Source organism: Homo sapiens, chromosome 19 (genome assembly GCF_000001405.40).
Source record: "Homo sapiens chromosome 19, GRCh38.p14 Primary Assembly".
NCBI classification, from domain to species: domain Eukaryota; kingdom Metazoa; phylum Chordata; class Mammalia; order Primates; family Hominidae; genus Homo; species Homo sapiens.
In genome coordinates, this window is record NC_000019.10 from 51,816,190 (window position 1) to 51,842,389 (window position 26,200).

Here is a 26,200-nt window from a genome sequence, read left to right on the forward strand (position 1 = left end):
CTCTCCCTTGCTATATACTTGCCCTATGCATCTATTTTGACTGTTTTTGAGCTGTATTCTTTTCTCCTTTTTTTTGAGACAGAATCTCACTCTATTGCCCAGGCTTGGAGTACAGTGGCATGATCTCGGCTGACTACAACCTCTTCTTCCTGGGTTCAAATGATTCTCGTGCCTCAGCCTCCTCAGTAGCTGGAATTACTGGCATGTGCCACTACACCCGGTTAATTTTTGTGTTTTTAGTAGAGACAAGGTTTTGCCACATTGGCCAGACTGGTCTCCAAATCCTGGCCTCAAGTGATCCACCAGCCTCAGACTCTCAAAGTGCTGGGATTACTGGCGTGAACCACCATGCCTGGCCTAAGATGTACTCTTTAGAATAAACCAATAAATGAAAGCAAAGTGATTTATTGTGTTCTGCATGCCATTCTAGCAAATTACAAAGCTGATGAGGGGGTCACAGGAACCCCTGATTTATAGCCCATCAGTCAGAAGTACAGGTGGCCACATGGGACTTGCATTGGTATCTGAAGTGAAGACAGTCTTGTGGGAGTGAGACCTTTAACTTGTGCGATCTGATGCTATCTCCAGTTAGACAGCATCAGAACTGAATTTCATTGTAGGATAGACAGTGGTGTCTCCAGAGAATTGGAGACTTGCTCTGTTTGGAAAAAAGCCCACACATATGCTGTTAGAAGTATGTGTGTAAATAGAGAAGTGAGTTTTTGCTTAATCATACATCTTTGTTGTTTATTGTTTTCCTCTCATTTTTTCACCTTGGTAATTTTTTGTTTCATTTCCCTGAATCTCTGAAGAAGAAAGGGCCTGGACTCTCATATTCCTTGACCCTTGTTATTTGGAGGGATGAACTCCAGTCTCCCACAGAAGGTTAGAGGTGAAGGAACATTCAGACACATAGGTTTCTAAGATGAGTAGTTTGATGACATCTCCAAGGTGTCTTCTGGGAATGGTAAGAAACCCTGAGTTTCTGTCACTGGATTGATTCCAGCTCCATTGTTCCCTTGTCCTTCAGCAAAGTCTCTGCTGAAGCCTATTATGTAAAAATCACAGGACACCATTGGTTTAAACTGAGCTACTGTACTACACTCAACAAACAAAACCAAAATAGAGTCACTCATACTAAAGTTCTATGTCACCAAACCAAAAACTAAGTTGTTTATCTGGCTTTCCAAGAAATCATAAAGAGAGAGAGAGAGAGAGAAAATAGCCAAATTCCCAAACAGGTCACTTTCAGTAGCCATGAAAATGCCTCTGCTTTAATCCTTACAAAAGAAGTAACGTAAGTAACCATGTCAGTCAATCTGTTTTGTTTTTTTTTTTAAATTATTGTTTCCCTATTCCCACTGTATGGAAAAAGCAACTTTGAAATGACCATTCAGCTTTTTTTTCTTTGTTTCTGCTTTCTTTAGCCCTCCTCTCCCTATAAAATCAAACTTCTCTGTTCTACTCATCAATACAGGCATTCTGTTTTGAGGGATGAGGTGTTGTCTGATTCTAGAATTATGAATAAAGCCAATAAAAACTTTACACTAAATTAGTTGTAATTTTGTCTTTTGACAAATCCTTGGAGCTTGTGTTGCTCGACAGGAAGCCAGGGACTGGCCACAAGAAAAGGAACTCAGCTAGTGGTAAGTTGGGGTCTGGCAATCTAAAAATTATTGTTGGAATGCCTGCTGTATGACAGACATTTCCTAAACTCTGGAGCAGGGCTGTGCGATGAAGTATCTACTTGCCAAATACAGCTTTTTTGTTTTGTTTTGTTTTTTCAGTCTTTTTTTTTTCTTTTTTCTTTTCTTTACTTTTCTTTTATTATACTTTAAGTTTTAGGAAATGATGAGTTCACGTCCTTTTTAGGGACATGGACGAAGCTGGAAACCATCATTCTCAGCAAACTGTCGCAAGGACAAATACAGCTTTTGAGTGCTTGCTATTTTTCTCATTTAACCTTAAGTGTGCTATAAATATAAAATGCATCTCATGTCTTCTAAGACTTAGTATGAAAAAAGAACGCCATGTATCTCATTAATAATTTTTATTCTGATTAAATGTTCCAATGATACCCTTTTTGATATATAGGATTCAAGAAAATATATTATTGGTGTTAATTTCCCAAATGTTTCCTACTCTGTTTACACATGGTTACCTGAAAACTATAAGACACAAACACGGCCCGTGTTTACAGACCACATTGTGTTTCCATTGGACAGTGCTATGCTAGAGACACAGCACTGAAAGAAGGTGCTACTTGTGGAGTTTGTATATCAGTGCAGAAAGTATTTATGATAGAAAATAAATGAACAAACAAATAAGAAAAGCATCTGGTGACATAGGCTGGACCTGGGGCAGCTGTTTTGCAAATGGGTTAAGAGAATACCTCTGAGGACAAGATATTTAAGCTAAAATATAAATATTCAGAAAGAGCCAGGTGTGGAAAACTCCAGAGGAAGATCATAGTAGGCAGAAGGAAGAGAGAAAGCAAAAGCCCTGAAATGGCAAGAAGCTGGCATGGTCAGGGAATCAAGGAGTCCACCATGGGTCCAGCACAGTGTGTCAGGTGAGAGTGCAGAGATGAGGTCTGGGGATACACAAGACAAATCTCAGGGTGCTTGAGAAGTGTGAGTTAGAAATGTGGAAGCCATAGAAGAGTGCTGAGAAGAATAACATCATTGTCTTATTTTTCCTTTTGAAATATAATTTGTCTGTGTCTGGATTTTAGCAGAGGGAATAGCAGGACCAGGAACAAACTATCTGCAAAGTTTGTACAAATATCCAAGCCTGACAGGGCCATGGACATGGGTAGTGGAGATGGAGATGGCTCTGGCTGTGCATTCAGCATGTTCTGTAGATATAATCAATAGGACTTGGATTGTATTGGGTGGTAAGGAAAATGAAAGGTGAGTTCTACATTTAGAGCTTTAATAACTGAATATTTAAACTCCAAATAGATACAGAATATTGGAAGAATGGCAGGTTTGGGAGGAAGGGACAAGCAACAGTTTAGTTTGGGCAATGTTGGGTTTGGAGTGTCTATGGGACTGCAGGGGAGATATCAAGAAGTCAATTGGTTATATGAGACTAGAGCTCCTGGGGAGGCCAGTGCTAATAATTCAGATGAGAGGATAGCATGGTACTTTAAGCTGTGATACTGAATGATATCACCTATAGAATGTGGGACACCCTAAATTTAGAGACATTTAGAGCAGAAAACTGGACTGAAAAGAGGTGGCCAATTGAGCTGTAAAGACAACCAAGAGTGGATTGTGTGTACATCTTATCATCTTATGATATGGAAAAAAAATGTGTTTGAAGTAGGAGAAAGAGATCCAGTGGTTCCTATGTCACTGGAACATCAGGATAAAAACTGAGAAAGGTCCACTGGATTTGGCAGTCTGGAGGTCATGTGTATCCTTAGGAGAGTGCATTAGCTGGAGTGCTAAGGACTAAAGTCAATATAGAATGGATTCAGCAGAATAGGTGAGGTGAGAAAAAAAAAGCAAGCAATTAGAGACAACCATTTCTAAAGTTTGGCTAGGAATTCTCTTTACAGAAAACACTTCTCTTAAAGAAATAGGGTTGAAGCTTGGAAAGAAATATGGGCCAAGATTGGTTTCTTTTTAAAGGGAAGGGATAGGATAATGGTTACTTGGTAACAAGAAGGATCTAGTAGAAATCAAATCTTGAGGGTTTCTTTTTAGCAGAAAGCAGAAGGACAAATACCATTTCTTGGGAAGACGAGAGACAGTGGGATGGAAAGCAAATGTAAAGAGGGAAGTCACTGGGAAAAAGAAGTCTTTATTCACAATAGCAAGGGCACGTAAATTGAGGGTTAGGAAAGAAAAGGCTAAAAAATGCACATCTAATTGTTACAGTTTTCTCATTAAAATTCAGCCAAGGCCATCAGCTGAGAGTGGAATAGTAGAGGAAGTTGGTTAGTTTGAGGAGAAAGCAGAAGGGCTGAATGTTATTTTAATGCATCAGAAATCACACGTGCTGGAGAAGCACAGATGCTAACAAGGAAGTGCCGAGTTTCCATTATAGATTACATTCCAATCTGTAATCATACATCCAGTTGTACCTCTCAATAATTGTGACATTGAACAAGTCACTTCCCCTCTCTGAGCCATGGTTTCCTATGGATTATACAAGAACAATATTTGTCCCAGAGCAAGGATGTTGTAATTAGAAATAATAAAATACACATTGGTTGATACACATTGGGATTGCACCAAATAGCAGCCCTCATAATCAGTACAGGTATCATCTCTGGTCCACGGTTCTCTTCTCCACTTTGTAACTAGGGTGGATCCAAAATTTTACAACATTGTCTTGTTGGCCTGTCCCCACCTGTCACTGCACATTGTTGGAATGTGTCAACATTTCCAAATGACTTAGAGATTATTGATACATCATACTGTCTGAATGTCTTCTAGGATATTTGGAGAGTGGTAGAGAAAATCTGAGTCTGTTGAGGAACTAGGGAATGGGAGAGGGTTAACCATACAATTCTGTTGAAATCAGTCTGATTGAGCTCCAACTCTGGTTCTACCCCTTTCTGACTGGGGGCTTTAAATAATTAATGTAACCAATATAAGTCAACTTCCTCATGTGTACAATGGTTATACTAATTAAAACTAAGGTTAGTCAATATTCACCGTGTCTCAAGGTGTGCTCAGTGCTCACACAGATTAACACGTCTCATCTGCAGAGGCTGTGAGAGCAGTTGTTAGGGTTAAAGGAGAAGCTCTTGGCATGTGAGTAATGTTCATAAGTAGTAGCCACTATTGCTATGAGCATTGTTCTTGTCCTGACCTTGAGCTTCAAAAGGCACGACCCAGGATTGAGCCCCATGACACAGCACACAGCCTGGTGAGGACCAGAAGTTCCCATTTGTCACAGACACTCAGTCTAGCCTAGAAGATTTCCATGTCCAGTCTCACTTAATCCTCACCTGAAAGTTAGACTTCACCACAAAACTGTCCTTGTTCTGCAGAGGAGAAAACTGAGGCTCAAAGAGATATCACTGACCAAGAACCCATATTGGCAAGGTGCCAACGATAAGAGTAGCGATCTAACTGACCCCAAAGCCCAGTGTTCTTTACTCTGTAACAGTGATGCTCAACTGGGGGGAGTTTTGCCTCCCACGGGACCTTTGACAATGTCTATAGACACTTTCAGTTGTCACTCCTGAAGGGGGAGTTGCTACTAGCATCGGTGGATAGAGGCCAGGGGTGTTGCTAAATATCCTACTGTGCACAGAACAGTCCCCCACAACAAAGAATTACACAGCCCCAATTGTCTGTAGTGCCAACGTTGAGAAACCTTGAGCTACATTAAACAATGTCCCATGAAAGACCTCAGTGAAAGTGACTGGTAATGACAGGAAGAAAAGAAGGAAGAGAGAAAGGGAAAGGAGGAAAAAACCATGATACTAGGGTATGACCACATGCTGGAAATATCTGGGGAACTCCTTTCAAATGCAGCATTTTAGAGTTGCAACGGTAGTGGCTCTAAAGTTGCTCATCCTGAATTTCAAATCTTGCTGCCTCCACTGACCGGCTGGACATGATGCTGAAAAAAAAAAACCTACAAAAACCCCAAGGCCATGAATTCCCTCTGGTACAAAAAGGGGTAATGATGGCTGCCCACAATGTTATTATGAGTATTATTTGTGAACAAGTGCTGTATAATTGCTGTTACTTTTAGAGAGGCTGGATATCCCAAGGTAGGAAGAGTCTCTAATTTTCCTGGCCATAAAAATCACTGTAGCTTTTACACAGAGAGATTCTAGAGTTGGGTTCATGAATATGCATTTTAACAAATACCTTGGATGTTTCTGATACAGCCCACAGACCACAGTATAAGCAAATTTGGTCAAGTGGCAAAGACACAAGGGACACAGAGACCTTTGGGTTGAGTTGGATGCAACAGCTTCCCATGTGACCTGGTGCAGAGGCAGGGACTGTAATTTTGTGATTCTGTTTCTTAAAAGCAAGGAAATAGATCCCAGAAAGATGCCAGGATATCCTCCCATAGTGTTATTGCCCAGAATTTAGTCATGTTTCCACCAATAAAGCAATCCCTTGCAAAGCAAAAGGAATTCTAGTTAGAACAAATTAGAAAATCAAGATATGCCCGCAAAGATGGAGGAGGGATACCTTCCCCCAAAAGAGTGAGTAACTGAACAAAATTGCGATTTGATTTGCAGAGAAGAAATGAGGAACAGTTATTTGTGGGGGGAGGGGGCATCACCAGCAATATCTGTCAGAATTGTTGCATAGAGAAAGGGCTTAGAAGTCAGACTAAGCTAGATTAAAGATCTTTGTCTACTGTTTCCTACTTAAGTGACCAGCAGATTTCACAATTGCTCTCAACATTGAGTCATTCCTGTGGAAACTACAAACAATGAATATTACAGAGCTACTATGCAGACCAAACTACAACCCATATGTAGCAATTAACACAGTGAATAGTCTCTGATAAGAACCCTACAAATACTAGCTAAATATTCATGCTCATTCTGTTTATCCCACAGACCTTGAAGATATACAACGGATGCTAAGTAGGGACAATGAAAAGCAGACGGGAGAAAGTAAATATAGGGCCCTCTTTGTTGACTTCATCTAGCACAGAATCTATAGGATGTAATATATTTCTGCTCTTTTTTTTTGTGGGGGGAAATGGAATCTACTCTGACATCCAGACTGAAGTGCAGTGGCACGATCTTGGCTCACTGCAACCTCTGCCTCCCAGGTTCAAGCAATTCTCCTGCCTCAGCCTCCTAAGTAGCTGGAGTTACAGGCTCTTGCCACCACACCTGGCTAATTTTTGCATTTTTAGTAGAGATGGAGTTTCACCATGTTGGCCAGGCCAGTCTCCAACTCCTGATCTCAAGTGATCCACTCTCCTCAACCTCCTAAAGTGCTGGGGTTACAGGCATGAGTCACCACGCCCGGCCTATAGCATGTAATATATGTCTATATATTACAAGTAATGGTTCAAAATCCTCTTCAGCTAACTCAATCCAAACCCTAAAACTTCAAATTAAATATCAACTAAAAAATAGGTCAAGGGTCCTCACAGTGGGAGGGACAGGAGCTGGGAGACTGGGAGAGCATGGGGCCGAAAGAAGTTGCAGAGCTTGCCAGCATGTTTGCATTGAGTGATGGAGGCCACAGATGTGAACCTTCTGACTCTGAGTCTTGTGCCTTCCTCACGAAGCTGAAGCTGCCTATGCTCAATTTTCCATTGTCCATACACTCTCAGTTCAGTATTTCCGCTGGTGGACAGAGCCCTTTAATCCTCTTGGTAATCAGCTTGATAGGTGGCATGCATATTAATAATGATGGGAATATAGAGAACTATCGTTTCCCAAAGGAACTCCGAGAGAGTGCCAATTTTATGTTATAACCATTCACAAGGCTCACTGGGGAGGGTCTGCTGGTAGGAGGAGGAGCTACAGTGGAAGTTAATGAATAGTTGTATTGTAAGATGGTGTCACAGCTGAGAAATGGCCATTGCTGAAATGTTTCAGGTGTGGGAAGATGGAAACCAACTTCTCCATTCCTCTGAATGAAACTGAGGAGGTGCTCCCTGAGCCTGCTGGCCACACCGTTCTGTGGATCTTCTCATTGCTAGTCCACGGAGTCACCTTTGTCTTCGGGGTCCTGGGCAATGGGCTTGTGATCTGGGTGGCTGGATTCCGGATGACACGCACAGTCAACACCATCTGTTACCTGAACCTGGCCCTAGCTGACTTCTCTTTCAGTGCCATCCTACCATTCCGAATGGTCTCAGTCGCCATGAGAGAAAAATGGCCTTTTGGCTCATTCCTATGTAAGTTAGTTCATGTTATGATAGACATCAACCTGTTTGTCAGTGTCTACCTGATCACCATCATTGCTCTGGACCGCTGTATTTGTGTCCTGCATCCAGCCTGGGCCCAGAACCATCGCACCATGAGTCTGGCCAAGAGGGTGATGACGGGACTCTGGATTTTCACCATAGTCCTTACCTTACCAAATTTCATCTTCTGGACTACAATAAGTACTACGAATGGGGACACATACTGTATTTTCAACTTTGCATTCTGGGGTGACACTGCTGTAGAGAGGTTGAACGTGTTCATTACCATGGCCAAGGTCTTTCTGATCCTCCACTTCATTATTGGCTTCAGCGTGCCTATGTCCATCATCACAGTCTGCTATGGGATCATCGCTGCCAAAATTCACAGAAACCACATGATTAAATCCAGCCGTCCCTTACGTGTCTTCGCTGCTGTGGTGGCTTCTTTCTTCATCTGTTGGTTCCCTTATGAACTAATTGGCATTCTAATGGCAGTCTGGCTCAAAGAGATGTTGTTAAATGGCAAATACAAAATCATTCTTGTCCTGATTAACCCAACAAGCTCCTTGGCCTTTTTTAACAGCTGCCTCAACCCAATTCTCTACGTCTTTATGGGTCGTAACTTCCAAGAAAGACTGATTCGCTCTTTGCCCACTAGTTTGGAGAGGGCCCTGACTGAGGTCCCTGACTCAGCCCAGACCAGCAACACAGACACCACTTCTGCTTCACCTCCTGAGGAGACGGAGTTACAAGCAATGTGAGGTCGGGGATATTTTTGGGCTCTGTCTCTTTCTACCCTGCGTTAAGCGGAAAAAAAAAATTCTGACAGTGTTTTTCTTCCTCTTTCATACCACCACCACCACAATCATCAACATAAAGGAAGTCTGTACCAAATCTGTAGGGGGTTTTTCCCACAACCAAGCAATAGACACCAGCTGGGTGTCCTACAATTAAATTCCAACACTATCTACCTGGAGCTACTGTCAGATCCCACAGGTTTAAGGGCTCATTCCCCAAGTCTGCTCCTCCAGTTGAGACACAAGTCACAAATCCAGGCTTCTGAAACTTCGGACCAACCAGCTTCAATCAGGGTTCCCACTACCCCCTCTTTGGGGGTAGAGTGGCTCATGGAACTCAGAGAAACATTTATTTCGGCTTGCTGGTTTATTATAAAAGCAAGGTTTATTATAAAAGATACTACAAAGGATACAGATGAAGAGGCACATAGGGCAAGGTACGGGGTTCCACGCCCTCCCTGAGTGCATCACCCTCTGGGAACCTCCGTGTGTTCACGTCTCATGAAGCTCTCCAAATCCAGTCCTCTTGGGTTTTTATGGAAGCTTCATGATGTCAGCATTCTTTCCTCCAGTGTATAGGATGGGATCCTCTCTGGGGAGGGTCTTAAGACCCACAATTAGAAAGGCAAGGGAAGATTAGAGTCCTGCTTTGGGGTAGATGAAAGGAAAGGAGAGAGATTCTGTTTCCTGAGGCTTAATACACCCAACATTATAACAAAGGACTGTAGCAAGGGCTATGGGAGTTCTGAAGCAGAAACCATGGGCTAAAACCAACATACATCTTAATACCAGATACCCTAATCCCAGTCCTAACTTCATTTAACCTTGGTCACATTGAGTCATTCCAGGATGAGTGGCTCAAGTATTTCCTCAGGGAAAATACTTCTGTGCCCCCTGATTTGAGGGTAAGAAGTAGATAATGAGGCCACTGTGGGTGTTATTTTTTCATGTCTGGACCTCAGCCTATATCCTGAGACTAAGTGGAAGTGGGAAAAGAGTACAAGAGAAGAGACAAAGTGGGGATATTTGTAAGGCTTAGATGAGATAGTGTTTTTTTAGAAAAAAACTTTATCTTACCATTAAGTAAAATGTTTGCCATAGGCTTTCTGGGGCTTTCTCTTTTTAAAGTCAGACTGTTGAAGGTTTCTTCTATTCTTATTTGTTAAGAGTTTTCTTTTATTGTTTAAATCATGAATGAATGTTGAATTTTATTAAATGCAGTTTCTGTAAATATTAACGTGATCATATTATTTTTATTCTTTCATTTACATAATTATAAATTAGATTAAGTTTTCAATGTTAAGCTACCCTTGCATTTATGAAATAAACCACGCTTGCTCATGATGGTTTTTGAACATTTATAATCTGTCTCACAGATTTGTTTAGAATTTCTGTATTTATGTTTATGTAGAGATGGCTCTGTTATTTCACTTTTCTCTACTGTCCTTGTTAGCTTTTACATAAAACTTAGTTTTCCTGAAAGGAGTTTGGAAGTGATTTTCTGATTCTATCCTCGGGTATTATATCTTTGTTAAACATTTAGAAAAATTTGCTAGTGAAGCCAACTGGATCTTGGGTTTGCTTTTTGGGAAGGCTTTTAAATATAGGTTCGATTTCTTTAACAATTATTAGACCTGGCAGTTTTCTTTTTCACATTGTTCACTTTTGGTAAACTGTGATTTTCAAATTCAAGGAATTTGGCCATTTCATCCCAATTACCAAACTTTTGTAATCACCCAGTGGGTTCTCCCTGCCTGCTGCACAGACAAAACCAGTTTACTGAGACTGTAGTATTGCAGTAAAGAAAGATGCAGTATTGCAGTAAACATGATGCTGGCCACATGGATGAACTGGAGTTATCAGTCAAATCAGTTTCCCTCAAGGCTGAGAGATTATGGTTTTTCAAAGATAGTTTGGTGGGCAGGAGACTAGGGAATGGGTGCTGCTGACTGGTTGGGAAGGCAATCATAGGAGAGTGGAAAGTGGTCCTCAAGCACTGAGTCTGCCTTGGAGTGAGGGGGTCACAGGACCACTTGAGTCATAAGTCATGAGCCCTGGTAAGGTCAGTCAGTTGCTAGAATGCAAGTCTGAAAAACATCTCAAAAGACTAATCCTAGGTTCTACAATAGAGGTGTTACCTATAGAAGTGATTGGGGAAGTCACAAATCTTGGTCTTTACTGCCCAGGTGTCTCTGGCCACATGACGTCTGGCAATAAAGGATTATAGAAACTATAATCCTACATTTTAGCAGAATTCAGACTCCTTGAATAATCCTAATCTTAGGGCCTTTCATTACTTTTCAGTCTCAGAGCAAGAAGGGTGTTAGTTAGGGAAGGCCTACTATCATCCTTGCTTCCATGTTAAACTATAAACTAAATTCTTCCCCAGTTATCTTAGCCTACAACCAGGAGTGAACAAAGACAGATAACCTTTGAGGCTAGAGGCAGGAAGGAGTCAGCCACGTTAGATTTCTCTCACTGTCAAAATTTTTGCAAATGTGGTTTCACTTATTGGCATGAGACAGTATAATAACTGTATGGTACTTGATATGTTTCTTTCAAGTAATGAGAATGTAAGCTATCTGAGGGCAGGTATTTTGGTCTATATTGTTTGCTGATGGATCCCAATCCCCTGCAAATAAGATAGTGTCTGATATGTGATAGGCACTCAATAAATGTTTATGGCATTGATAAACAATAATATCACTTAATGTCCAGTCAAAATTATCTCCAGCCCTCATAATATGAATCAGGTCAGGTCTAGTAAATTCCCATCCTCATGTCCACAGTATTTGTAAATTCCCAGCTGGCTTACATTTTCATGAACATTTCTGATTTTGAGTTTCTGCTTAAGTAAACTACTCTGGTTAACCATTGCCTAAAGACTTCATATTTAAATAAATAACTCATAACTCAGCCCTTTACCTTGCTTTCTGCACATAAACACTCAGAAATTGTCAATTCTGTATTGTGAACATACTTTCCTGATGCACTGGCAAAAGACACCACTCAACATGAATATCAGGCAATCCTGTTATCAGTGTTCTCACTCACCCCACTGCTTTACTCATTTTCTTCTCCTTTTCCCTTCTGTCTCTCCTAAAGTTATTGCATTTCCAAGGCAGAGCACTTTGCGCATTTCATTTGCACGTTTGACTCCTATAAATGCTTTAGAGTTCCCAGGAGGTGTATATTCTTAAATGCCCAGCCAAGGTGTAGCCATAGAAAATAAGGAACAAGGCTGGGCATGATGGCTGACTCCAGTAATCCCAGCACTTTGGGAGGCCGAGGTGAGTGGATCATTTGAGGTCAAGAGTTCTAGACCAGCCTGGCCAACATGTTGAAACGCTGTCTGTACTAAAAATACAAAAATTATCTGGGCATGGTGGTGTGCACCTATAATCCCAGCTACTTGGAAGACTGAGGAAGGAGAATTGTTTGAACCTGGGAGGTGAAGGTTGCAATGAGCTGAGAATGTGCCACTGCACTCTAGCCTGGGAGACAGAGAAAGATTCCATCTCAAAAAAAAAAAAAGGAGAAGAAAAAGAAAAAGAAAATAAAAAGGCACAAGGACAAAACCTAGATAGGAGAGCCAGGGCTTCCAGATGGGCTAATTAAGAGACTTCCTCCACTGCCAGGACAGGGGATTCTTACTATTCCTTCCCACTGGCCTTGGTTAATTGCAGTAGAACAGTGCCTGCTACATCCTCTCCATTTTTCTTTTCCTCTTTAGGAGTTTTCATTGTGGAGTCTCAATTCCCATTGCATTATGATATATTGTGGGTTCAGGAAACTGAGATTTTTTTTTTAAAGTTATGGGACAGTTACCACAAAGAAATACTTCCCAATGTATGTCCATGTGGATGGCTCACTAACTTCCTGTATCAGGCCTGGTCGGTCTGGGACAGCACTACTGCTTGCTGGTTTTAGATTTTTTGTTGCTTTGTGCAACTTAGTACTGCTGTTGTCAGGTGTTGCCTTGGGGACTCTCCAGAAACTCTGGTGAATATAGACAGCTCTCTGAGCCTTCAGGCTCCCCTGCAGCTCCTGGAGGGCAGGTTTCATTGTAATGAGGATGTTTCGCTATGAACAGTAGTCACTCTTTCTCTAATCAGGCCCCTGGTGACAGGCCACTACTTGAGGGCACGTTGTCCCTTGAGCTATATATGCTGCTCTTGTTACATGGGGTCTTGGTAGTAGTCTGGCCTGTACTGGGTATAAGTTGCAAAGTCCTGGTCTCCAGCCAGAGTGAGCTGGCCAGTATGGTGAAACTCTATGTCCATCTCTGCCAGGGTCCAACCTGGCCGAATGACAGATGAAAAATGCACTCTGAGACTGATATCCAGTGAAAAAGCAGGCTAGGGGACTGGGCAGCTCACAGACACCGAGGAGGGAGCTGTAAAGAGTCAGTAGCCACAGCCCCGACAAGCTGGCACTGTGGGCATTTATTCAGTACAGATTTAATGACAAAGGCCTGGAGTCAACACGTCTTGTGGGTAATTAACATTGTCACCCCCCACCCCCCAAGACAGCAGTCCTGTGCACAGATGATTAAATACCAGGTTCCGAGGCCTAAGTAAACTAACTTATCTAGATCAATTCCTTTACACTTCCTTGTTATCCATTCTGAGAAAATTCAGCTGCCTTCAGCCAAATCCTCTTCTGAAGCTATGCAAATCCCAGGCCTTCCAAGAAGGTTTGCATCCTTTTCCTATAATTTATCTTACAACTTTTCCCACCATCCTGACCGATCTCCTACACATCTCACTGATGAGAGAGCCACAGGATACCAGGCTCCTGGGTAGCAGCAATTCCCTCATAGTGAAGTCAGAAAAGATGATAAAATGCTGGGCTTCAGTGTGTTGATAAAGGAGAGCCAGGATGAAAGGATCAAGTCACCTAAGCCTAACCTGTAATATGGCAACTGCACAAGTCCCCTTGGCAATTTTCAAGAGCAAGTGCTGCTGAGGCCAGTGCCTCCTTGGTTGCTGCATTCCTTCCTGCTATCACTCCTTGTCCCCACTAGCCACTCAGAGGTCAAGTGGGGCACCTTCAAAAGGGAAACAACTGCCCACAAGGCCAGTGCAAATGGAGCTCACCCCCAGATGTTTTTAGTAACAATTTGTAAAGTCAAAACAACAGGGTGCCAAACCCAAGGTCATCTAGATTTTCTCCTGTTATCTTCTAGGAGTTTTATAATTTTGTCTTTTACATTTAGGTCTGTGATCCATTTTGAGTCCTATTTATCTGGTGGAAACCTGACTGACATAGCATATGCTTCTAGTGTTTAAAAAAAAAAAAAAAAACAGAGGAAAGATGAAGCATTAACTAATATAAATTAGTAGAAATTGAGTGGAAGAAATGAAAATAGTCTCTCTGTCTACTTTATCATGCCATTTTCTTTTTGTGTTTTTGCCATCAGCATATACATCTGTTCTCTAATCTACTAACTGAAAACATAAAAACCTTTTGTACCACACGCGTCCTCCTGAACTTTACAACAAATTTCTCTGCTCTCCTTGACAGCAAACTCAAGGGTCACTTCCAGTTTCTTTCTCTACTTCCTCATTTCACATTTTCTCCAGAACTCATTCTAAATGGGTTCATGTCCTGATTACTGCAGTGGGACTACTCTTATCAAGGACAACAGTGACATCCATTGCCATGTTACTGCACTGCAGGTTCAGACATTTGGTGCTTGCCTATGAATCCAATGGAGTAAATCTAAGTCATATATGCTTATCTGATAATGATGGGAATCTTAGGCCCCTAAGCATATATGACTCAGTTGTCCACACCCTTTTATTTTAAAATATATAATTCTCTTGGTGACATCACACTTGTTTGGTTTTCTTCCTACCTCAGTGATTTATCTTTCTCAATCTCCTTGACTGGCTCTTTTCTGACTTTTAAATGTTGGTGTACCCGAGGGCTCAATTCTAGACCCCCCTCATCTATTTGCATCAATGCAGTCATCCTAGGTAATGTGTTCCTATAACTTGAAATCCCATCTGTACATAAATGACTCCCCCTAAACATCCATCATAATCCACAACTTCTCTTCAGGACTCCAGACTGGTATCTACCTCCCTCCTCTGCATTTCCACTTGAAAACCTATGGGGCATCATCAAAGTAAAACTATCAATTTGATTCCCCCTGAAACAGTTGCTTGACAAATCTTCTACATTTCTTCCAAATTTAGGAAAAGTCATCACACTCTACCAAATGTCTTAAGTCCCAAATATAAGTAATTATTGATTCTTTATTTTATTTATTTATTTTTTATGAGATGGAGTCTCACTCTGTTGTCCAGGCTGGAGTGCTGTGGTGCGATCTTCACTCACCGCAACCTCTGCCTCCAAGGTTCAAGCAATTATCCTGCTTCAGCCTCCTAAGTAGTTGGGGTTACAAGGTTCATGCCACCCCGCCTGGCTAATATTTGTATTTTTAGTAGAGATGGGGTTTCACCATGTTGGCCAGGCTGGTCTCAAACTCCTGATCTCAAGTGATCCACCTGCCTTGGCCTCCCAAAGTGCAAGGATTACAAGCATGAGCCACTGCACCCGGCCTATTGATTCTTTTAATCTAATCCATCACCATATCCCATTGACTCTATGTCAAAAACGTGGACCAAATCTGTGTGTTTCTTTCCTGTCCACTACCACCTGACTTCAAACCATCATCATCCGGACCACTACAATAGTTTCCTAATCTTTCTGCATTCACTCTTGCTCTACAGCAATCAGTTATTTACACAGCAGCCAAAGTTTTTTTTTTCTAATATAAACATGATCGTGCCCATCTCTTGATTAACACCCTCCAATAGCTTCCCATCATGCTAATAATAAAAACATCTGAATCCACTATCTGACTCCCAAAGCCTCATATTATCTGGCTTTTGCCTGTCCTTCTGATGGTCTTCCTCAACAGTTTTTCTTTCATCGATTATGTTAGTAATTACACTAGTAATATCTTTATTTCTCAAACATACCAAATCATTCTTGTCTCAGAATCTTTGTACTAACTGTTGTCCTGCTTGGAATATTCTTCCTCTTGAACTTTCATGTGACCAGTTCATGTAATTCTAATCTCAGTTTAAACATAACCTCCTCAGAACATTTTTTTCTGAGTCCCTAAGATAACGTAGCCTCTCAGGCTCTCTCCAGTCTAGTTCAGCAAATATTTTAGTTCTTTTCATAGCACTTGTTGTAGCTTTTTGTCAATCACAAAATCACCTCCCTTCTCTCATTCTTTGCTGGTCTGAGAGCCTTTGACGCCTCTGTTTTTCTTCATCTATTGTAGCAGCCTCCACATTCATCTGTCATTTTTCAGTGAGAAAGAGAGTGGGTATCCAGAAAATGAGGTCTGAACCATATACAGCAGAGTTTGTTAAGCCTGAGGTAGACACCTGGTAGCCATTAAAAGATACAGAGCAATGTGATGATCTGCTCTATTTTTTTTTAATTTGTATTGAGTCTAAAGCTTAACCATAATTTTCTTTTTTTATTTTTATTTTTTATTTTTTTGAGACAAGGTCTTACTCTGTTTCCCAGGCTAGAGTGCAGTGGTGCAATCTCAGCTCACTGCAGCCTCTGCCCCCTGGGCTCAAGTGATCCTCCTGCCTCAGCCTCCCAAGTAGCTGGGACTGGAGGTGCAAACCACCATGCCTGGCTAATCAACCATAAAAATTTTTCATTTTTATGAAGTCCAACTTATTCCTTTTTTACAGATTGTGCTTTTGGTGTCATGTCAAAGAATTCTTTGGTTAGCTCTTGGTCCTGGACATTTTTTAATGTTTTCTCCTAAAAATGTAGTAGTTCTACATTTAATATTTAAATCTATAATCCATCTTTAATTATCTTTTGCAAAGAATGTGAGGCTTAGGTTGAGTTTCTTTTTTGTTAATATTTTTAATGTCCAATTACGCCAGTATCATTTGTTGAAAATAATATTCTTTCTTCATTGAATTTTTTACGTATGTCAAAAGTCAATATTGTGTGTGGATCTATTTCCGGACTCTATTGTGTTCCATTGGTCTGTCTACCGTTTAGCCAATATCACACTGTCTTGATAATTGTAGCTTAATAGCAAGTCTTGACATACTCCAATGTTGTTCCTTTTCAAAAGTAATTTGGCTATTTTAGTTCCTTTGCCTTTCGATATAAATTTTTAGAATTAGGTTAATGTTTTTTTAACTTGAATCACATTGAATCTATGGATTTGCTTGAAGAAGAACTGATGTCTTAATCATATTCTGTCTGCAGTACTCTCTTATTCAGTACTAATCTTTCAACTCTATCTGCCTTGTTCTTCCCAACTCCCAACTTTATCTTCTTATTTCAAAGAGTCTACCGGGCTCTACCTGTGTTTCCCCTCCTACTCTGTGGCCTGGGAACTCTCTCAAGTCAGTAATCAAGGCAATCACGGGAATCATCTTATTTGTTTCCCCTTTTTTGGAGATTACAATGCTATACTACCTGTTGTCCAGTGTCAGAAAACCATTCTTTCCCATTTTCCCTAGATTTTTAGTTGTTTAAGGTAGGAGCATAAATCTGGTCTCTCTTATGCCATCACCGCTGGAAGTAGTTATGTTGATTGTGTTTTAAAAAGTCATTTTTTGCTTCTGTTCATGGAGAGAGAGAGCTGTTTGCAAAAGCTAGTTCAGGCATCCAGACAAGAGATGGCATGAGCCTGTAGGTGATTCTTGGGGTGCATAAAATCAGCAGCACTTGGATTTTGCTTACCAAATGAGAGAAAAATCAATAATAAATTTTAGACTTGGCACTTAATCTACTGAGAGGACAATGCCTCTGATTCCTAAAAGAAAGAAAACTGAGGAAGGGGCAGGTCAGGGAATAGGAGAACTGGGGATACTGTTTTCAGAATGTTTAGTTTGTCATGCCTACTGCTTGTGTTCACAGAAATTCCAAGAAGTTGACTGATTTTATGAGGCTGGAATTTTGGGAAGTGGTCAGGGCTGATGGTTTAGATTAACAGTTAGGGGTACAATATATTTTTTTCTTTTAGTTTTAGTTCACATCGTAATTGTACATGTTTAAGGGATACAGAGTGATATGTTGATACATGCATACAATGTGTATAATAGTCAAATCAGGGTAATTAGCACATCCATCACCTAAAACATTTATCATTTCTCTATGTGGTGAAGATTCAAAATCCTCTCCTCTAGCTTTTCAAAAACACACAATAGATTTTTTTTTTTCTAGCCACTTATGTAGCTACAAAAATAGTACTGGAGTAGGGGCAGGGTCTTGCTCTGTCACCCAGGCTGGAGTGCAGTGGCACAATCATAGCTCACTGCAGCCTTAAAACCCTGGGCTCAAGTGATCCTCCACCTCAGTCTCTGGAGTAGCTGAGGCATGTGCAGCCACACTCCTTTTATTTATTTATTTGTTTTGTGGAAACAAGGTCACACTATGTTGCCCAGGCAAACTCCTGGCCTCAAGATACAGAGAATTAAAAAGCACAATCAAGTAACCTAACTGACATTTATAAACCATTTCTTACACCTAAGAGTAGGATATTTCACATAATACCCAATATAATTCTTTTCAAGTGCTGGGTTATAAAATAAGTTTTAATAAAAATCTAAGGCTTTAAATTATACTAAGTATATTCCATGACCATAATCTATCAAATTAAAAACCAGCAATAACAACATAACTAGCAAATGCCCAAATCTTTGGAAACTAAACAACATATATGTAAATAACCCATGGGCCAAATAAATCTTAATGAAGATTAGAAAATATTTTTAACTGAAGGATAAGAGGAGTACATTTCAAATTTTGTGATTTAAAGCTAAAGACAGTGTGCACACGATTTTTTTTTTTAAGACAGGGTCTTGCTCTGTCACTCAAGCTGCAGTGAAGTGGCAGAATCACGGCTCACTGCAGCTTCAACCTCTTGGGCTCAAGCAATCCTCCTGCCTCAGCCTCCTGAATGGCTGAGGTTATAGGCACTCACCACCACATCTGGCTAATTTTTAAATTTTTTTGTAGAGGTGGGGTCTTGCTATGTTGTCCAGACTGCTCTTGAACTCCTGGCCTCAAGCAATCATCCAACCTGAGCCTCCCTTACAGGGGAATTTTTACCTTAAGTGTTTTTATTAGAGAATAAGTGTGTGAACTCAATGATCTAAGTTTACATTTCAAGAAGCTAGAAAAATATCAAATTAAATCTAAAGAAAATATAAGAAAATAACTTTTAAAAGTGGAAATAAATGAAATAGAGATCAATAGAAGAGGAAATATTAAAGTTATGTTAAGATATCAATAAAATGGATAAGTTTCTAGCAATACTAATCAAGAAAAAAGAGAAAATACAAATGACCAATCTTAGGAATGAAAAAAGGAACATTATTACAGAGACTAAACACACTAAAATGATATTACAAATCACTTTATAACATTATATTTGACAATTTAGATGAAATGGACAAATTCCTTGAAAAGCACACATATGAAACTGTCATAAAAAGAATTAGAAAATCTAAATAGTCCAATACCTAGTAAAGAAATTGAATTTCTAATCAATACCCATTAAAAAAAAAAAAAACTTCAGGCTTGCATTGTTTCACCTGTGAATTCTACTGAATATTTAAGAAAGAAGTAACATCAGTCTTACAAGAAACACTTCCAAAAGACAGGGAAAAAAGGAACACTTACTAGTTTACTTTTAAATACATCTGTTCAATACAAAAATTGTGCTTGAAGAATAAAGTGATTTTTATGAACTGAAGTTAAAATTAATATTAATAAATTTTTTATTTTAACCAATATTTCAGAAAAGTTATGTTTTCACTGACATGGCCAGACATAACTGAAATCAGTATCTTTTTTTTTGAGACAGTCTTGCTCTGTTCCCCAGGCTGGAGTGCAATGGCACGATCTCGGCTCACTGCAACCTCCGCCTCCCTGGTTCAAGCAATTCTCCTGTCTCAGCCTCCTGAGTAGCTCGAATCACAGATGCCTGCCACCACGCCCAGCTAATTTTTGTATTTTTAGTAGAGATGGGGTTTCACCATGTTGGTCAGGCTGGTCTTGAACTACTGACCTCAGGTGATCCACCTGCCTTGGCCTCCCAAAGTGCTGGGATTACAGGCGTGAGCCACCGCACCCGACCTTGAAATCAATATCTTAAGTAATGTTTGGATCATGCAATTTTAAAGTGACACATACTTTACACATTAGTGGTTTTAAAAAGTTTTTCTCACATTGATGTCATGGCAATAAATGGAAGAAAAAAATACCTAGTTCTTGAAAACAATAATAAAAACCTTTGTTTCTAATGATTACTCATCATGTGGAAATTTGCAGTGAAACCAAAATGAAGCCAAGTAATTTAATTTCTACTCTTCAAAAATCTCTGTATGTAGTATTTCTGGAGTATCTGACTAGTATAATAAGGTTTTTTTGCCTTTATTGTCAGACACTTCATTAAATCTTAAGGTGGTAAAAACAGTGTGAAATCATCATAAAATCTTACCATTCAAATAAATGTACTTATGTTTTACACTTTTTGAAATAGATATTCTGACGGGGGTAAGATAATATCTCATTGTGGTTTTGATTTGCATTTCTCTGACGATTTGTGATGTTTGGCTTTTTTAATGTACCTGTTGGCCATTTCTATGTCTTCTTCTGAAAAACGTCTATTCATGTCCTTTGCTTACGTTTTAATGGAATTACCAGTTCTGTTGTTGTTTCCACACGAACATTTTCAGATGAACATTCATTGAGATTTTATTCATAAAAGTCAAACCTGGAAGTAACTCAGATGTCTGTCAACTGGTGAGTGGATACACTATAGCATATCTGTATGATGGAATGTTAGAGTTAAAAAGGAATTGCTAATAAATGCAACAACATTGTGAACAAAAGTTCCTGAAAAGGGCTGGGTGCAGTAGCTCACGCCTGTAATACCAGCACTTTGGGAGGCTGCGGCGGGTGGATCACCTGAGGTCAGGAGTTCAAGACCAGCATAGGCAACATGGTGAAATCCAGTCTCTACTAAAAATACAAAAATTATACGGGCATGGTGGCACGCACCTGTAATCCCAGCTACTTGGGAGGCAGAGGCAGGAGAACTGCTTGAACCCAGGAGGCAGAGGTTGCAGTGAGCCCAGAGGGCGCCACTGCACCCCAGCCTGGGTGACAGAGTGAGACTCTGTCTCAAAAAAAAAAAAAAAAGAAAAGAAAAGAAAAAATTATCTGAAAAGGAATGTGAAGGAAACAGACTTTATTCCAGCAAAAGGCTGCAAACTACAGAAACACAATCTTTGTTGTAAAATGAAGGTGTGTTCCAGGGAACAGAGGGAAGGCTCCGGTTTTAAAGCAAAAGTTTCTGCCCAGGTTCCCTATCACCTATGTTGCTATCACCTATGTTGATGCCAAGAAAGAGTGAAACTTACTTAGTTCTTATTGGTTAACACAGCTCAGTCCTGATTGGTTGATACAGCTGAGCGCTGATTGGCCAGGGAAGGTGAACTCTGATTGGTTGCTTCAGGTGAGCTCTGATTGGTTGGTTTCCAAGCCCCAAAATTAAAAGGTGTGAGTTTTGAGGGGACTTAGAGTACCTGTATGACCTCTAGACAGCAAATGGCTGGTAGGTTCTATTTTAAATTTAAGCCCAAGTAACCATACAGGATCCATCCCAAAAGACTGGCTCTTTCAAATTCACATTTGTTCACAACATGAATGCATCTCAAAAGCATTATGCTAAGTGCACAAAGTCAGACACAAAAAACTATCTCTTATATAATTCCATATGTGTGACGTTCTAGATTACAAATAACTATAGTAACAGAAATGAGGTGAGTGGCTGTCAGGGAACAGGAGGTGGGGAAAGGGGATCAATAATTGCAAAGGGGCACAAAAAAACTTTGGAGTCAATATAAATATCTATTTTCAGATGATGGTTACATGATAATATTTATAGTCCATTTTCATTTATAAGTATAGCTACAAAAATCCTAAATAAAATATTAGCAAACCATATCCCAAAATATATAGAAAAATATTGTACTATGACTAAGTTGCATTTATTACAGAAGTGCAAAGGAACTGATTTATGCCAACCACCTGACTGAGCTTGGAGCCAGCTTCTTCCCCCATCTTCAGATAAAAACCCAGCCCAGATGACACCTTGGTTTGATTTTGACCTTGAGATCCTATGCAGAACATTCAGCCAAACGCATTCAGATGCCTGACCTACAGAGCTATGAGCTAAAACATGAGTGTTGTTTCACACTGCTAAATTTGTAGTCATTTCTACATAGCAACAGAGAACAAATACAAATATTATAATACTATTTATAAAACTTAAAAATCTAAATATTGAGTTCTTTAGGTATCCACATATAAGTGCATATTTCTAAAAATCAAGGAAATCACATACACAATTCTAGATGGAAATTTTTAGCGGGGTGGGAGTATTGGAATGATTAGGCAAATACACGATTGATGCAAAGATGGGACAGAAATGAAAGACTGTCATTAGCATATTATCAAACATTACCTTTATTAAGCAAAAAAAGCCAATGGTTAAATATGCATTTAAATGTTTAATTAGAAACTAAATTATTCGTTGTGCACATGTACCCTAGAACTTAAAGTATAATAAAAAATTTTTTTTTAAAATAGCCATTCTCCCTGGTATAAGAGGGTTAAAAAAAGAAACTAAATTTTTATATTTATTATATAATTATATAAATATTTATATATAAGTATAAACATAAATATATATAAATTTATATTAAATTAAATAGAATTTAATTTTAAATTTAATTTAAAAGTTTAAATATGCGTTTAACCTGATCTGCTTTATGTATTTAAGAAAATGAAATATCCATACTATGCAGTTCAATTTAATAACATAGTACAAAAGATAAGTTTGGTATAGATGGTAAATTGTAGATGCTTTTACTATTACTGCCTGGTTTTTTATTTACAAGCATGTAACAATTTTTGTAATAAATAATTGTTGTAAGGAGATCTTTATTTAAAATCCTCAGAAGTTTTCAAATATGTACTCAAAGATAAATTCATATAGGAAAACGAACTATATGAAAGCAGAAAAGGAAAAGTTAATTAGATAATTAAAATTGCCACAGAAAGGTATATATTTGAATAATAATAAAAGAACATTTCTCAATTATCTACTATAAACCAGGCACTTTGCTAGCATTTCAGGCACACCATTCCAATAATCTTCAAAAGAAATTTGCAAAGGAGATACCATCATTTTTTCCTAACAGTAAAACTTACAGCATTTCAATACCTTGCCCAAAGTCATGCAGACAGTAAATAGCAAAATCGGCATAAAGAATCAGGACTAAAATGTTATTTCAAAGGATTCATCAAGAAATAAATTATGTTAGCCAGGCGTGGTTGAGCATGCCTTTAGTCCTAGTTACTCAGCAGGCCGAGACAGGAGGATCACTTGAGCCCAGGAGGTTGAGGCTGCAGTAAGCTATGATCACCCCTCTGCACTCCAGCCTGGGTGACAGAGCAAGACTCTTTCTCTAATGATTAAACATAATAATAATAAGAAGAAATTACACACACATACCCATACACATATACCAAGTATTTATGACACAATTTTAATAATTGCTGAATCTAGGTGATGGGTACACAGGTGACCACCATGTTGCTATTCCTTCAGTGTACTTGAAAGGTTTCAGTATGAAATGTTGGGAAATATGGTTGGGTACTTAGTACAGCACCCAAATCCCTGGCATCTGAAGCAATGAAGTACCTCCTTCCCCAGCCCTTCCCATCACCGATAGCCATAATGGCCCCCAACTCCGCATCGCTTGCTCGCTTTTCCTGGTTCCCCAGACACCGACTTCCACTCGACGCTGAGGATGCTCCAATCCAGACCACAGAAGCCCTCAGTGGCTAACCCCCAGCTTCAGATTCCACTGACCATTCCCTGAAGCCTTCTTACACCGCAAACCTCCACAAGTACCCCATGCTGGTCGCATCCGGTCAAGGACCCCAACAGCGCTGGGAAACTCACCCTACAGCTGGAGTCGCACAAACATTCGCTTGAGGACTAGCAGGTTTCCGTAACCTCTTCACTCACTGCCGTAGTCACGCTCTTGTGCAGACTCAGTAGCACCTTCGCGGAACACAAGATGTCTACAGACTTTGAAACCAGGCGTGCACATGGAAGCAGCAGTCTTGGAAGATGCTTCTTACAGATAGCGAGATGGCCATTTTCTGGCGACTAAATTCCATCGTGCTAGAAAGGAAAGAGGCAATGCAGCTGATCTTCTACTGTCCTTTTCACCACTTCCCCAGCTGCTACCAGCAGCGTTGTGCATTCTCAGGAACAACATTCAGCGTTCTCACCTGTCTACTTCAAATCTAGCAACAGCCCTAAGCCAATCACAGACAAGACCTAAGCAGAAGATGGCTGCACCTATTTAGCCCCATAGGCCCTTAAAGCAGCAGGTAAGGCGCAGCCATATTTGAAAAAGTTTTGGGATCTGTTGATCAAAGACTAGGCAGTGGAGCAAGGAAGTGGGAGCAGGCAGAGGGTGGATTCTGGGAATGTGTTTGTCGAGAGAAGTCTTAGGAAACCAGAATTGGGTCTGGAGGAGCTCAGGTAGTAAGGGGGAAGCCACCTGGGTACATTTGGGTGTGGGATTGTGGAGAGAGACCTTGAGGGGTAAGAACTGGGCCAAACTGGTTGTGGAGCAGACACTGACAACCACAACCCATTCCAAGAGAATATTAGTTGTACTTCAGAAAGATCATGTGTATTCTGAACAGTCATGTGAAATAGATGTAAAAGTCATGAAGAAATTATTAGCAATCAAATCTAGCATTATATGAAAAGAATGAACTTCAAGATCAGGTTCCCAGGAATACAAGGATGTTTTATCCCTTAAAAATAAATACATGTAATGTATGGTGCCAGCCATGATTAAGTAAGCCCCCTAGTTTATCACTCCCACTGGTTAGAGTTAAAACTTTTGAAAAAAAACTAATAAAAACTACTTGAGAACTTTTAAAATGAATAATTGCAAAGAGATTGGAGAATAAAGTATAGAGTTGAAAACCAAGCAATGCACAGAGTAAGTTCCCTCATTTTTTTTCTGTCTATATCTCCTGCCTTTGACCTAAGGGTAAGACAAATTAGGAAATTGTTAGTCCAAACTGCACCATTTTGGAAGCCCCCCACCATTTCACAAAACCTGATCAAAGTGAAACATTCCACAGGGGGTTCGGGCTGTGAGAAACATCCTGCCTCTTATCATATTCTGCTGGGAGAAAGTGCAAGGAACACCACTTTCCGCGGGAATCGCCTCATCCTGGGAACATGTCCCCCCAGGCCCCTCTCACCCAGGCCTATAAATTGCCCCAGCCTATAAGCGGTGGGCACTGGCATTAGGCTGTTTCCTCACTTCTGCAGGTCTTATGCTGGACATAAAGCCTGCATTTGCTGTAGAGCCACCACTCCATGTCTTTCTTTAACCCTTGCCTTCCCTTCAAAACCTAACAGAAATTTCGCTGCTGAGGTGAAGAGCAAGGACACTAAGAAAAACCAGCCTTCATGGCCAGAAAACAGAGAAAATGAATCCACATGAGCCAAAAAGTGTGTTGTGGGGATCTCTATTTTATTTTATTTTTTCCGTTTTTCTAGTTTTTCTAGCATGGTCTTGCTAGTTCTACTGTTGAAACTGCACTGCCACAGTACTGGCAGTGACATGGACACCTAAAACTCAAGAAAAAAAATCTATAGATAGAAAATATTAGGCCCGATGCGGTGGCTCATGCCTGTAATCTCAGCACTTTGGGGGGCCAAGGCGGGTGGATCACCTGGGGTCAGGAGTTTGAGGCCAGGCTGGCCAACATGGTGAAACCTCATCTGTACTAAAAATACAAAAATTAGCCAGGCATGGTGGCAGGCACCTGTAATCCCACCTACTTGGGAGGCTGAGGCAGGAGAATCAGTTGAATCTTTCTGATGCCAATCATAAGCTTGCCACATTAGTTCTAGAGAATAACAAACAAAAAACAATGAATTCTACCATTATCATGAAATGGAGAGGGATGGAATCTCAAGTTCATATACAAGAAAAATTCAGAAAGTGATCTGCAGATACACAGTGTAAGTCTGAGACATTCAATAAAAGAAATATATAATAGGCTTGAAGGACACAGGTGTCATCAAACTTGGAAAAGATTCTAGGAATATTTGAAAGCATACTAGAAGAGGTCTATAAATATTGGTAGGAGGTGAAGGGTGGTTGTATCTAATAGGCTGCAAAAGAAAAGTGACTAAGCAAAAAGGCAAGGGCCAAATAGGCAAGAATCTCAACCAGAGGGAGAAAGAGAGGCACATCTCCTATGAGTCATACATAGAAATATAGTGCTATGGTCTGATGTGTCCCCCAAAACTCATCTGCTAGAAAGTTAATCCTCAGTGCAGCAGTGACAGGGAAGTGGGGCCTAATGGGAGGTGTCTAGGTCATGAGGGCTCCACCTCATGAGCAAGTTAATGCCAT

At 40.1% G+C, this 26,200-nt stretch overlaps 2 protein-coding genes across 6 annotated transcripts in view; one reads left to right on the forward strand and one right to left on the reverse strand.

Moving 5' to 3' along the window:
• FPR3 (formyl peptide receptor 3) overlaps positions 1-10,001 on the forward strand; it is a 31,034-nt gene extending 21,033 nt beyond the window's left edge. Inside the window, exons 1-2 of one of the 2 annotated variants that reach the window (XM_011526687.3) lie at positions 1,478-1,646; positions 7,550-10,001. In XM_011526687.3, coding sequence (XP_011524989.1) covers positions 7,560-8,621 — 1,062 coding nt within the window. In that variant the 5' untranslated portion in view covers positions 1,478-1,646; positions 7,550-7,559 and the 3' untranslated portion in view covers positions 8,622-10,001. Of the gene's footprint in view, positions 1-1,477; positions 1,647-7,549 lie in introns of those variants that run through there. The other variant, NM_002030.5, reaches the window with a different exon arrangement.
• The window catches only part of ZNF577 (zinc finger protein 577), an 83,510-nt gene that overhangs the window by 11,748 nt on the left and 45,562 nt on the right, over positions 1-26,200 (reverse strand). For all 4 annotated transcript variants that reach the window (NR_163433.1, XR_007067021.1, XR_007067020.1 and 1 more), the window contains exon 9: positions 23,704-23,928. The gene's annotated coding sequence lies outside the window, so the exon portion shown is untranslated. The remainder of the gene's footprint in view (positions 1-23,703; positions 23,929-26,200) is intronic.